The sequence below is a fragment of the Homo sapiens genome, chromosome 12 (assembly GCF_000001405.40).
Source record: "Homo sapiens chromosome 12, GRCh38.p14 Primary Assembly".
NCBI lineage: Eukaryota > Metazoa > Chordata > Mammalia > Primates > Hominidae > Homo > Homo sapiens.
The window spans coordinates 2,248,976-2,261,917 of record NC_000012.12 but is presented as its reverse complement, the minus strand read 5'-3'; the positions used below and the strand labels follow the sequence as shown (position 1 = coordinate 2,261,917).

At 45.9% G+C, this 12,942-nt stretch overlaps 1 protein-coding gene across 55 annotated transcripts in view, besides 2 other annotated features; it reads right to left on the bottom strand.

Annotated features, from left to right (window-relative positions):
• CACNA1C (calcium voltage-gated channel subunit alpha1 C) overlaps positions 1-12,942 on the bottom strand; it is a 727,171-nt gene that overhangs the window by 436,033 nt on the left and 278,196 nt on the right. The window lies entirely within an intron of this gene.
• Positions 5,476-5,975: an enhancer, noted in NCBI's record as "OCT4-H3K27ac hESC enhancer chr12:2365109-2365608 (GRCh37/hg19 assembly coordinates)". NCBI's record gives its function as "activates a minimal SCP1, AML or CMV promoter by ChIP-STARR-seq in naive H9 embryonic stem cells {active_cell/tissue: H9 hESC(naive)}" and the evidence as "EXISTENCE:reporter gene assay evidence [ECO:0000049][PMID:30033119]".
• Positions 5,976-6,477: an enhancer, noted in NCBI's record as "OCT4-H3K27ac hESC enhancer chr12:2364607-2365108 (GRCh37/hg19 assembly coordinates)". NCBI's record gives its function as "activates a minimal SCP1, AML or CMV promoter by ChIP-STARR-seq in naive H9 embryonic stem cells {active_cell/tissue: H9 hESC(naive)}" and the evidence as "EXISTENCE:reporter gene assay evidence [ECO:0000049][PMID:30033119]".

Sequence of the window (12,942 nt, the reverse complement as noted above, 5' to 3'; positions counted from 1 at the left end):
CTACTATGTGATGCAATGTCCACTCACTGTCATTCCCATATTAGTACTGCACACATCCCAGCACAGCAGCTTCAGATACATCCAGACACTTTCAGGGCTCCCCCCAGCCAGATGGGATGGCATGGAACTGCTGGTGGCAACAGCAGAAGCACCTGTTGTGTGTGTGTGTGTGTTGCACAAGGACCCTTCTAGAGCTTGGCCCATATATGTATAGAAAACCACCTCTGATGCTATATCTCCTAGTAAATAGTGCTGTTTGTAATAATGTTTTACTCAGTGATTACCATATGCAAGGTGTTATACTAAACACTTGTCATGACTTATTAATCCAGTGTTTCTCAAAGTGTGTCCCAAGGAACCCCAGCAGGATCTCTGAGACCTTTTTCGTGTATCTGTGAGGAGAGAACTATTTTTATAACAACTCTAACATTTTCACTGTAATGCTCTCACAAATACACAGCAGAGTTTCCCAGAGCCTACATGATGTGATACCATAACACACTGAATGACAGAGCAGATATGAGAACCCAGCTGTTTTCTAGTAAGTCAGACACTAATCTATACAAATGTAAAGCAATGTCACTCTTCTGTTTTTTTGTTTTACAAAAAAATTATTTTTCAGAAACAATATTGCTTATGTTAACATGCAATCAGTTTTTTTTGTTTTTGTTTTTGTTTTTTTTTTTGAGACGGAGTCTCGCTCTGTCACCCAGGCTGGAGTGCAGTGGCACTATCTCGGCTCACTGCAAGCTCCACCTCCCAGGTTCACGCCATTCTCCTGCCTCAGCCTTCCGAGTAGCTGGGACTACAGGTGCTTGCCACCACACCTGGCTAAATTTTTTTGTATTTTTAGTAGAGACAGGGTTTTACCATGTTAGCCAGGATGGTCTCGATCTCCTGACCTTGTGATCTGCCAGCCTCGGCCTCTCAAAGTGCTGGGATTACAGGTGTGAGCCACACCACCTGGCCACAATCGGTTTTTTAATGAATTAAGTTGATTTCTAATACAATAAACATGAGTAGCTATAATTTACACAAATAAAAACTCTCTGGGATTCTCAGTAGTTATTGAGAATATAAAGGAGTCCTGAGACCAAAAAGGCTCAGAACTTCTGCATTAACTCATTTAATTCTCAGAATAGCCCTGCAAGGTATATATAATTAACCCCACTTTAGGAGCAAGAATGTTGAGGCAGAGAGAAACAGTGCCTAATCTAAGATCACACAGCCAACAAGTGTTCAAAACAGGACTTTAGCCAAGGAGTCCATGTGATCTCAACCATGATGCTACCCCGACTCCAGGACGGGCCGAGGGCCCCACCAGCAGAAGTGAGAGCCTTGCCTCCATGGGGTTGAGCAATCTGTGCTCCTCTCCTTTTCTCTCTTCTTTCTTTTCTTTCTGTCTCTTTCTTCTTCTTGTTCTTTTTTTTTTTTTTTTTTTTAATAGAGACAGGGTCTCTGTCACCAAGGCTGTAGCACAGTGATATGATCATGGCTCACTACAACCTCAAACTCCTGGGCTCAAGCAATCCTCCCACCTCAACCTCCCAGGTAGCTGGGACTACAGGCACGTGGCATTATGGCCAGCTAATTATTTTTATTTTTGTAGAGACAAGGTCCCACCATCTTGCCCAGGCTGATCTAATTCCTAGGCTCAAGCAATCTTCCTGCTGCTGCCTCCTAAAGTGCTGGGATTAACCAGTGAGAGCCACAGTACTCAGCCCATACTTCTCTTTTTTCCCCAGATTGTGTCAGCCAAGTCAGGCCAAAATGTGCCCCCCACAGCAGGGAATTAGTGACCATGTGGAGGTGCAGGATGTCGGTCTTCCTTCTGATGGTTTGGGACTGCTGGACCCAGGCTGCCAGGCAAGCTGGTTTCTCCTGCACACCAGTGTGCAGTCTGGTGGATGCTGGTGGGGAGAGGGGGATTCTCTGAGCATGACCATGAGAACACCCAAGAAAGCGGGACTTAGCTCACAAAGCTATTACTAGTGCTTTCTGTCACCCAGGCTGGAGTGCAGAAGTACAGTTCTAGCTCACTGCAGCCTCCACCTCCTGGGCTCAAGCAATTCTCCCACCTCAGCCTCCCAAGTAGCTAGGACCAAAGGCACGTGCCACCATGCCTGGCTAATTATTTTACTTTTTTAGTAGAGACCAGGTCTTGCTACATTGCCCAGGCTGTAATGCACTCATTCTTACTGATAAAATGAAAAACAAAACAAAACGTATAGCTCCTGCTCTGCATTACATTAAGAAAGCTACACACTTAGATCTGATACAATGCTTAGTCTAATAATGACAGGCTGTCTCCGGGCCAAAAAAATAAGTCGTCCCCAACCACTTCCTCCTGTCAAAAGACACTGGAAAATTCTGCCCTGCTCTTAGCTCCCCCTTGCAACATCTCAAAGCGGCTCTGCTTCTTAAAGAGGCAACTTACTTCTGGTCTCCTGAGGTTTGTTTTGTTCTTTTTTTCTTTTTTTGATAAAGACATTAATTTTCCTCATTAGCATTTTGAATTCACTCAGGGATGTTTTAACTACTTAGTTATGATCCAAATAAAGAGTGGCTTGCAGCCCCTCTCAGAGGCTGTTTTAAGCTAACCAGTCTCAAACTTCAGCATACATCACAAAAACCTGGTGGGCTTGTTAGAACACAAACTGCTGGGTCCCGTGTGGGGCAGGGCGGGGTGTGGGGAGCTTCCTTTTTGTAGAATCGGCACTTCTAGTAGGTTCCCAGGTGATTTTGATGCAGCTGGTTCAGGGCCATATTCTGAGAACCACTGCTTTAAGCTACCTTTCCTTAAATGGAAAAGAAAAACAATTAAGTGAAGGAAATATTGAGTTCCGTGATTTCCCCAGGGCCAGGTGAAAGACTTCCACTTATGAAAAGGCCTTGGTTAGGAATCATGCTGAACTCACTAGTGTAATTCCATCTCCCTCATCTATTTTTGGAATTTGAAAACACATATGTTAATTTATATTGAATTCATAATATTACTTTATTAATCCATCTCTCAAATGGATTACTTTTTAAGGGAGATTTGTGCCTTCTTCTCTCCTGAAAACTTAAATATTCATTTTAATGAGACAAAAATAACCAGAATTTGATCAGAAATATTCGGTAACTTTAAGGAGCTGATGCTCACATATCTACAATAATAAGATAGAAAATATTCAGGCGTCTTAAAATACGAGTTATCTGAAATCGAGAGGGAAGAGATTAAAGTGATGATGAAAGGGACAGTCTGGAAGGGCAGCATTGATACAGCAGAAGGGGCCCTGGATTAAATCTGGTTGGGAAACCCAGTCCCAGTTACCCCACTGAGGAGCCTTATGGGCTCGGAAAATTGGTTTTTATGGACCTCAGGTTCTACATATGCAAGATGAAGATAACACCGTCCTCCAAAGACGATGATATAATTAAATTTAGTTGTTTTATCCCACATCATTTTTTAAGAACTTGAGATTTTTAAAATTTCACATTTAAAAAAAAAACTTGAGGAAAAAATGAGTTTTCAAAAATTAATGAGTAAAATACATATTTTAAAACAATATATACCAACCAAAAACACACAGTAAAATTATTCTGACTAATCACAAATGCTGGCCTAAGTTTCCTGGCAGTTAAACTGAAGAAGGGAATTATTACATAACTCTCATTATCTCATAAATTGAGAGGCGGAAACAAGCGAATTCCTCAAAGCAATGAATGAGATCATGTGTGTGAAAGCTTCTGGCAAATAACCAGAAATAAGATGTCATTATTAAGGTTTCAGGAAGAGGTGGGATATGAGCTTTACTATGGTGGGACAGGGCAGACCCCAAACACAGCAGGTGATGAGATGTAGTACAAAGAAACTCTGCCTCCCTCTTCTCTTTCCTTTGGCTTGGTTCTCAAACCTCTGCCTACTGCAGAGTGGGAGTGCACGTGCTGAAGGCAGATTGAGGGTGCTCTTCAATCAAGTTGAGAGTGTAGCATTCACTTGTATGAAAATGCCGCTTCTGTAGGTCAAAAAATATCAGTGATTTCCTAAGGTTAAACCTAACAGTAAGACCAAGTGAAGTGGAGGCAACAGGTATAAAGAATATACCATTTCAAGGCTGTCTTTGCAGTTCTAACAGTTAGAAAAGAACATTCTGAAGACTAGAGAGTTAAACCTTAGTTTGGAACCTCACTGCTTGAGAACCTGGGAGAATCTGGAGGAGAAGAGATCAATGAAAATGCTTAAAGACTTGGAGAGGAAGGGAACACGCTAGAGCGGGGGTCCCCAGCCCCCAGGTACCGGTCCATGGCCTGTTAGGAACCAGGCTGCACAGCAGGAGATGAGCGGTGGGCAAGCCAGCATTACAGCCTGAGCTCCAGCTCCTGTCAGATCAGCAGCAGCATTAGATTCTCATGGGAGCAAACCCTATTGTGAACTGTGCATGCTGGGGATCTAGGTTGCATGCTCCTGATGAGAATCTAATGCCTGATGATCTGAAGTGGAACAATTTCATCCCAAAACCATCCCCTCTCGGTCCTCCATGGAAAAATTGTCTTCCACGAAACTGATTCCTGGTGCCAAAAAGGTTGGAGACCGCTGTGCTAGAGAAGACTGAACTGTCCCACCACAGCCTGGTCCCGTCCTCCAGGGTACTCAGCTGGACTACATTTCTCAACCTCCTTTGGAGACAGGTGTGGCCCATGGCTGACTTCTGGCCAGTGAAATGTCAGTGAAAGTGATAGTCACAACTTCCGGGCCTGGACGATCTTGGCCGCCATTACAAACAACTGTGTTCATTCCTCTGTGACTGTCTGAGTGCTGGATGTTAACACCCAGGGAGGCCTGGAAAGCCACCAACGAAGACAGCAAAGCCCTGGTCCCCTACAATATGGAGCAGAGCCACCCCCGTCCTGATTGGGTTTACATTCTGTTGTGTTGAGTCACCACGATTTTTGAGTGCAACTGTAACATATCTGGTGTAATAGAAGAATGGATAAAGGAACTGTTGTTCTCATGCCCCCTCTAAAAAAGAGATAACTAATCCATTTACTATTTTAAAAGGTAGCATGCTGGTTTCCAAACCTGGAAACACCCATCAGAATCACCTGTGGAGTGTTTTAATCAAACAGATTCCTATACTACACCCTGAATCTCCTGAATTTTTCCAGGATTTTTTTTAAGTTCTTTAGGAGTTTACAACTGATCATTAGGCTGGAATCTGAGGATGGCTAGAAAGGATGTGGCTGCAATGCTGACCTGCCGATGTCCTCATTTCTCTACCCCTGGAAACGCGCCATCTGCTTTACGTCCTGGCTCTTAATCTTGCACCATCTTCTCGTCATCTCTAACTGGTTAACTGGTGTGTTTTATCAACTCAAGAACCCTGTACGCTCATCAGGGGCCAGGATTATAGCTTTTATATTTATTTTCCAAACAGCATGAAGCTAGACAGGTAATGAAAGCTCAATCAACACATTAATTCATTTGATTTAAGCAGTTGTTTTCTTCTATACCATCAGAATAAGGGGAAAAAGGGCTTTTCTAGCAACGTAGACACAGGCTAGACTTAGCAAAACAGTTCCAATTATGTGTTTAAGTCATTTTTAAGACACCAATGTGCCCAAGGTGACTGATTACCCCATGCATTGATGGAGAAGTAACCAGTTCTCAAAATTTAATATGTGCAAGGCTGAACTATGAAGCTTGTTAAAAATGTAGATTCCTGGGCTTAGCCTCCAGGTAGTCTGATCTAGTAGCTCCAGTGTAAGGCACAGGAATTTGCATTTATGATATTCCTCCTCCTACCCCATCCCTGAGTTGTGTGCAAGTGGCAAGAAACAGGAGGTGTGATTGTAAACTAGTAAGGTCAGGATCGTGTGATTGTAAAGTAGTCAGGTCAGGATCGTGTGATTGTAAACTAGTCAGGTCAGGGTCGTGTGATTGTAAACTAGTCAGGTCAGGGTCGTGTGATTGTAAACTAGTCAGGTCAGGGTCGTGTGGTTGTAAACTAGTAAGGTCAGGGTCGTGTGATTGTAAACTAGTCAGGTCAGGGTCGTGTGATTGTAAACTAGTCAGGTCAGGATCCTGTGATTGTAAACTAGTAAGGTCAGGATCGTGTGATTGTAAACTAGTAAGGTCAGGGTCAGGTCTATTTTGTTTAATGTGATATCCGTAGGGCCAAGCATATTGCTTAACTCACAATAAAGCTTATTATCTGTCCAATGAGGAGGAATCTCATCTGACTTATCCTAAACACTGCCCTTCCTTCCAGAAAGGAAATGAACCAGGTGACCCTCCTGGTCTTCTGAAGGCCACCAGCTTACTGTCACACACTTAGTAAACTGGGAAGTGCCCCTTCTGGCTGCCTCAGCCCCATCTGCTCAGAGTTCTAATTGAAGAGGCCGACCTCCTTTGATTGGCACTGCCTTCTTGCTGTGCCAGGGACCATCTGTAGCCACCACCTCCTGGCAGTTCAGACATCTCTTCCTTCTTGCAGGCATGGATGGGCAAGGACATTAGTAAATGGACCTGGATCTAGGAGAGAGGGCCTGCCTGTCACACCCCGAATGACCCCAGGTCTGTTAGCAAACTCCACACAGGTACTGAGAACTCCCACACCTGGGGAATGGTGCTTTCCTAGTAACTAGGTTTTTTTTTTTTTTTTTTCTGCAGCAGAATGCTGAGCATCCCATAACCGTGATTTCACTGGCTCTCACAGTACCTCAGTAAAACCAGGAGGGAGCACGGGTCTGTATCCATATTTTGCAGATGGCAAACAGAGAGGAAATCTGACTTGCCCAAGGTCACACAGCAGGTCAGCCATGAAGCCAGGGAGGGTACCCAAGCTCTACGCATCCACAGCCGTGGCATCTGCAGGGCCACAGCCCCTTCACAGGGGCGGGGAATCACAGCTGCTTCCATTTAAGGCTGTTGCTCCTCAATTTTACACAGGGGTATGTGCTCTTCAGAAAGGAAATACTAAGCTAAGCTTTGCCTCTCTTCACTTAAAAGACCTTCGGGATGAATCTCTTTCAGAGACTCAACTGCCATCCAAGTGAAGAGAGGACGGGGGGATATGAAAAGATCTTTTTCTTGGCAGTGGTAATGAACCTGTAGTTCTCAAAGTGTAGATGGGACGTATCAGAATCACCCAGGCACTTTCTCAACATATATCGTCCCCCATTCACAGATTCTGCAAGTCAACCAACCCCACTTCAGCCCTGACTCCATAGCAAATCTCACAATGGAGTAGTTTGAGTGGCTTTTTTCTTTTCCCTTATCCCACGGGCAGGTGTTAACAGCAAAGGGGACAGGGGTGAGCAGTAGGAAGGGGAAGCCTGGACCCTGGACAATCCACAGCAGAGGGTGCGGAGCTGACATCCCCTGTGCCAGTTTGCCGCAGCACGATACAAAAGGTGCACAGGACACAAGAGTAATGGGGCAATCCGGGCCCACACCTTCGTTCTCATACTAAGAGGAAAACAGAAAATACAGGGTTACAGAGTTCACAGCCAACACTCAAAACAACAGACTGGAGTATGTGTCTAAGGAAGACATGAAATGGAAGGGCCACTACAGACAACTGGCGGTTGAGAAGATAAGACTCAGCCTACATCCTCCAGAAGCATACTGACAGACAGAGTCTGGGGTCGTTTGAGGCTCTCCTCTGTACTGATACTCTCCACCCCACTCCCTGAGAACAACTGGAGGGAGGGTGCCTGCCTAGGGGCTCTCGAGTGGTGAGCACAGTGCTGGGCACACACAGTAAAGCTCCAGAAAAGTGAGTTGTTTTTGCATTGCGAGTTTTTCTGGACTGTGTCAAGTTTTACTTTAAATAAGGCACATCCAAACTAAGAAGTGCCCAGGTGAGGTTGGTCACCCAGTGATGGCTTCCAGGCTCACCAGCACACCCTCAGTCCTATCCATGACTGAGCCCTTCCCATCCAGCCCTCCCCTGGATCCCAGTACTGTTGCTTCTCCCACTCAGTACGCATCCCTTACTTCCCTGTTGGTTTCAAAGTTTTCTCTCTCCAGTGATCCCATAAATCAGGCATGTGAGACAGAAGGTTTTCACATCATGTATTAAAGGTTATTAAGTGCTCCCAATGAGATAGAAGAAATCTTCCATTGCAACATGAGAGGCATACTTTGGACATCAGAATGAATAGTGGTAAGCGCTACTTAAACAATGTAGGTTACCAGTGGATGGACGGAGAGGCAGAAACTGACATTTACTGACTACCTACGTGTGTGAATGTGCTTGATTTTATTTAATCCTCAACACCCTCCTGCGAGGAAGGTATCATTATTTCAGGGATGAAGAAAGAGGAAAAGAATAGCATTTCCACAGCAGATGTTCTTAGAAAACAGAAGCCACGGACTTAGGTTCCAATGACTTGCAAATAGTACCCTGGTGGGGAAAAGTATGCACATATGTTTGGCCTCCACTGTACCCAGAGCTGCTTGGAGAGCCTTCCACATGGATCAGTCAATGACCAAGGAGGAGTTCTAAGCCTTTGGGTGGCAGCCAATAAATAATCATCCTTTCTGCCCCTTATAAACTCAGAACCAATTAAGAAGTAAGATATAGGACACACAGATTAAATCAAACCAAAAGCTTGATTAGAAACAAATTATAAAATGGAGGAAGTGGCTTAGACGGGCTTCGAAGGACTTCCTAATATTTCAACCACTATTAAATGTACTTACCCTGCCAGAAGGTGAGACCATCACAGGTTTTCCCCACAGGGCCAGATCAGTCCCAATAACTTGGTGAACCCTTCTTTGGGGATAAGTGGATTCAAAAGAGAGTCCCAGAAGGGGCTACACCAAACTCACCAGTCAGATAGGTCACTTCTCCCCTGGGGACAAGGGCATAAAGAGACAGGGAAAAGTGGGATGTGTTCCTGCCATACCTTCCCTTCCGGGAACATGAGCTAGAAACTCCCTCCTTCCCCTGCCCATGTAACACAAGGGGTAGGGAGTAAATGATATTCCTTTTGCGGGAGAGGGCCATCAACACTTTCAAGCTAACTCGAATGTATGGGAAAGACTGAAAAAAAAAAAAAAAGTTAAACCCATGGACCCAGCAAAGTGCCATCCTCTAAGGAGGACTTGGAAGGACCCAAGAAAGTCTTGGGAAGTAAAAACTGGGGAAGAGTAAGAGCTTAGAAAAAAGAAAGAAGGGGTTTGACCTAACAGGTCTGTAACAGAAAACATACAGCTGTCCCCGCACAAACACCTTCATCTGATCTGGAATTTGCTCTACATAGAACCTGAATAATCTCCTGGAACCCACCAGGCCTCTACCACCTACAAAGGCAACCTTGACATTTAAAGTGCATAACTCTTGTCCCTGCTTCTTGATAGACAGTGGAGGACAAATGATGACTCACACAAGAAGCCCCCAAGCCTGCTCCGGGGCTTCTTAGCCTCAGCTGCACGGTTGCTGCTTTCCATGTCCTTCCACCTTCCACTCAGCACGTTGGCCTCCCAGAGGGTCCTCTTTCTACACTGTCCTACAACCCAAACGTTTGTGTATCGTATCAGAGCTGCTGATGTGAAGAAGCCTTTGACTGTGGCCAGATTGCAGAGGCCACTCTGTCTAAACCAGCCCTTTTTTGGACTTTCTTTTTCAGGCGGACTATTTACACACTTCAAGCAAGCCCCACAAGAGCCCCCAGCAAATAATACATTCATCCAAGCAGCCATCTCTGGTGGAAAAAAATCGTTATTAATTGGGGTTACAGCACTCATTTTAACCGCAGCAGGAGCTGAGCCAACTTGATTTAGTGGTGTGCAGTCTTTTTCTGAACTCCAGTGGATACTTCACAAATAACAATAAAAATTTTAATGGTAGGACAGACATGGAGTGGGCTACACAGCTTCACTCATTAAACAAACTCCATCCACCATGCTCAAGGATTCAAGCTGTTTTATGTGGCCAGCCACTTTGCCTAAGCCTGCTGCAGATGAGAGACTAAATTTTCATGGTGTCAAGTTGCAGTAAGAAACAGGTTTCATTAGCCCTCTTAACAGATGCAGAAACCGAAGGCCAGAGTGAGAAAGTGATTTAGGATCAATCAGAGGAGGTGCCAGGAGTCCATCCTCAGCCCCACCTCTCGCCCCAGCCTCATTCAGTTCTGATTTCCGAAACATTTTCGCTTCATGGAAACTAGGAAGACTCCATTCTCTGGAGAACTGCAGGGCAGCTGTTTCTGATTATTTTTCCAAGAGAGACACATAACCAAAAGGGTATTTTGGTTATAAAGCAATTTATTTCTCTAACCATTAGAAGATATGTATGTTCATTCCCATGGGCCCGGGGCTGGGTTTGGTTGCCCTGCAATGACAACGTCTAGCAGGACTCCACTGAATCCAGGAGGCCAGTAATGGAAACTCAAAGACTGTGGCAGTGCCACTTAGATAAGCACCTGCGGCCTCCCTGACCTACCTCAACCTCCCTGGCTTGGAAACCTCTGCTGGAAATTTCATAGAAGCTACTTCTCCCCTTGCAGGGGAGAATTTTCATTACAAAGGAGGATTTCAACACGCTTCAGCCATGTCCTTTAGGATCACTGTACTAGAAAGCTGGGTATAGCTCTGACCAGCCATTGACCGCCTGCCCTCATGATGGTCACGATCCCAGGAGACATGTCAGTAGACCACACTGTCCAGCAGCAACTCAGCTTCCCTTTGCCCTTCACCCCCATGACCTTATGCTGACTGTCAACGTGATCTATTTTCTCCCCTGCTCTTCAGAAGCCCTCAGCAACGATTCTCCACTCCCCAGATACTGATGACAGAAACTAAATGATCAAGAAGTATTCATATGAGCAGACACACATCCCTCTCAAACTCAGGCTCTTCCAAAGTGACATGACTGTTCTGCAGACGGGCTGAGCCAACGCAGAACACACTGTCCCTCCTTCTGCGTCATGCTGGAAGTTGCTCTAAGTGCAGGATGTGGTAGAAGTCACCAGGGTGGATGGGATGGTCTGTGTTCCAGCAAACCCACAAGGACAGAAGAGCCAGCCTGGGCTGGTTAGGGAGAGGACAGCTTCAAGGCTGAAGACTAAAAAGTAGAGCTATTATTCTGGGTGGCTTGTCGTCATCTCCACTGAGAGCAGAACAAACCCCTAAAGCATGTGGAATTTCCATTACAGACAAAAAAGAATTATTGGACAGTGAGGGTCATTAGACAATGGAATGAGTGCCCAAGGCTACAGCACTGGCATCACCACAATGATCAAGTCAGGAGGGCCGGCTGGGGTTGGGAGGTCACTGGATTAGAGATGGATGACCAGGGCTCCATTGGCTCAGTGGGTATTTAACGCATGGCCTTGGAGGAGGTGCCAGTCTCTCTCCACTTCAGCTACAGCGTAGGCCATCACCCAGTTTGTCCCCCTGAGTAGTTGCTATGAAGATCAAATGAGATCATGGATGTAAAAGTGTTCAGTGAACCATAAATTGCTACCCAGATATCAGCTGTCATCAACCACACCCACAATCCTGACTAAAGGTCTCGGGATGGAGAGAGGGTCTTGGCCTGTGCCCTTCAGGATTCGGTGCTGTGCGTGCAACCTGGGAGTTTCTGCCCTGTTAATAAGCTGAGTGCTCCCAACTCCAGGTGCTGGGAGGTGAACGGCCCAGGGTTGGAAATGTCTCTTCCTGGAGTGCTCAGTGCTGATGCTGGCCAGGTGGAGCACAGAAGACAAATGAACTCCGCAGATACTGACTGGGTGGGCTCTGTGAGGCACTGTCCATGCCTCAGGGAGATGGACTGATGCATCCTTGTCCTTGAGGAATCTAAAGAGAAGGCAAGGCAGGCCGGGTGCAGTGGCTCACGCCTGTAATCCCAGCACTCTGGGAGGCCGAGGCAGGTGGATCACGAGGTCAGGAGATCGAGACCATCCTGGCTAACACGGTGAAACCCCGTCTCCACTGAAAATACAAAAAATTAGCCAGGCGTGGTGGCGGGCGCCTGTAGTCTCAGCTACTCGAGAGACTGAGGCAGGAGAATGGTGTGAACCCGGGAGGCGGAGCTTGAGGCAGGAGAATCGCGTGAACCTGGGAGGCGGCGCTTGCAATGAGCCAGGATCGCGCCACTGCACTCCAGCCTGGGCAACAGAGTGAGACTCCATCTCAAAAAAAAAAAAAAAAGAGAGAAGGCAAGGCAGATGTCACTGATTCGGAGCCACCGGCCGAGTGAGCCCTAGACTAGATTTTAGGCCTGGCCTCACCTTGGACAGGTCACGTGAGTCCCCTGAATCCCAGGTGCAATAAACAGGGAACAATCATCACCTCTGTGTGCCCACTTCACAGAGCTAATGTGAGGGTTGGGGGTGACGAACTGCAGAGGAGTACCAGCAGGAATAACAGCAAACATTTACCTGGCATCTGCTCTGTGCCACACACTGTTTAAACCTTTTACAATCAGAGGGCAACAAACTTTTTCTGTAAAGGGTCAGGTAGTAAATATTTTAGGATTTTATTTTAGGATTTGTAGGACAGACAGTCTCTGTCACAATTACTCATCTCTGCTGCTGCTGCAGAGAAACAGTCACAGACAAGACATAAATGGATACGTGTGGCTATGTTCTGATACCATTTTATTTACAAAAGCAGATGGCAGGCCGGATGTGGCCTGTTCGCCAGTTCACCAACTCCTGCTTTGCATACTTCCCCTCACCATGACCCAGTGAAGTATACGTCACTTCATACTCACTTTACAGATGAGAAAAGTGAGGCCCAGTCACATGAATTAACTTGCTCAATGTCAGAGAGCTGTTAAGTGGCAGGCTTGGGATTTGAAGAAAGGCAGTCTGGCCCCAGAGTCCTTACCTCCTTACCTCTCTACTGACAGCCTATTCAGAACGCTAGAAATGAAACGTGACAACCACTACATCAAACTGAGGTGCCAGTCAAGCATGGCCATAATAATAGCCAACATTTCCTGA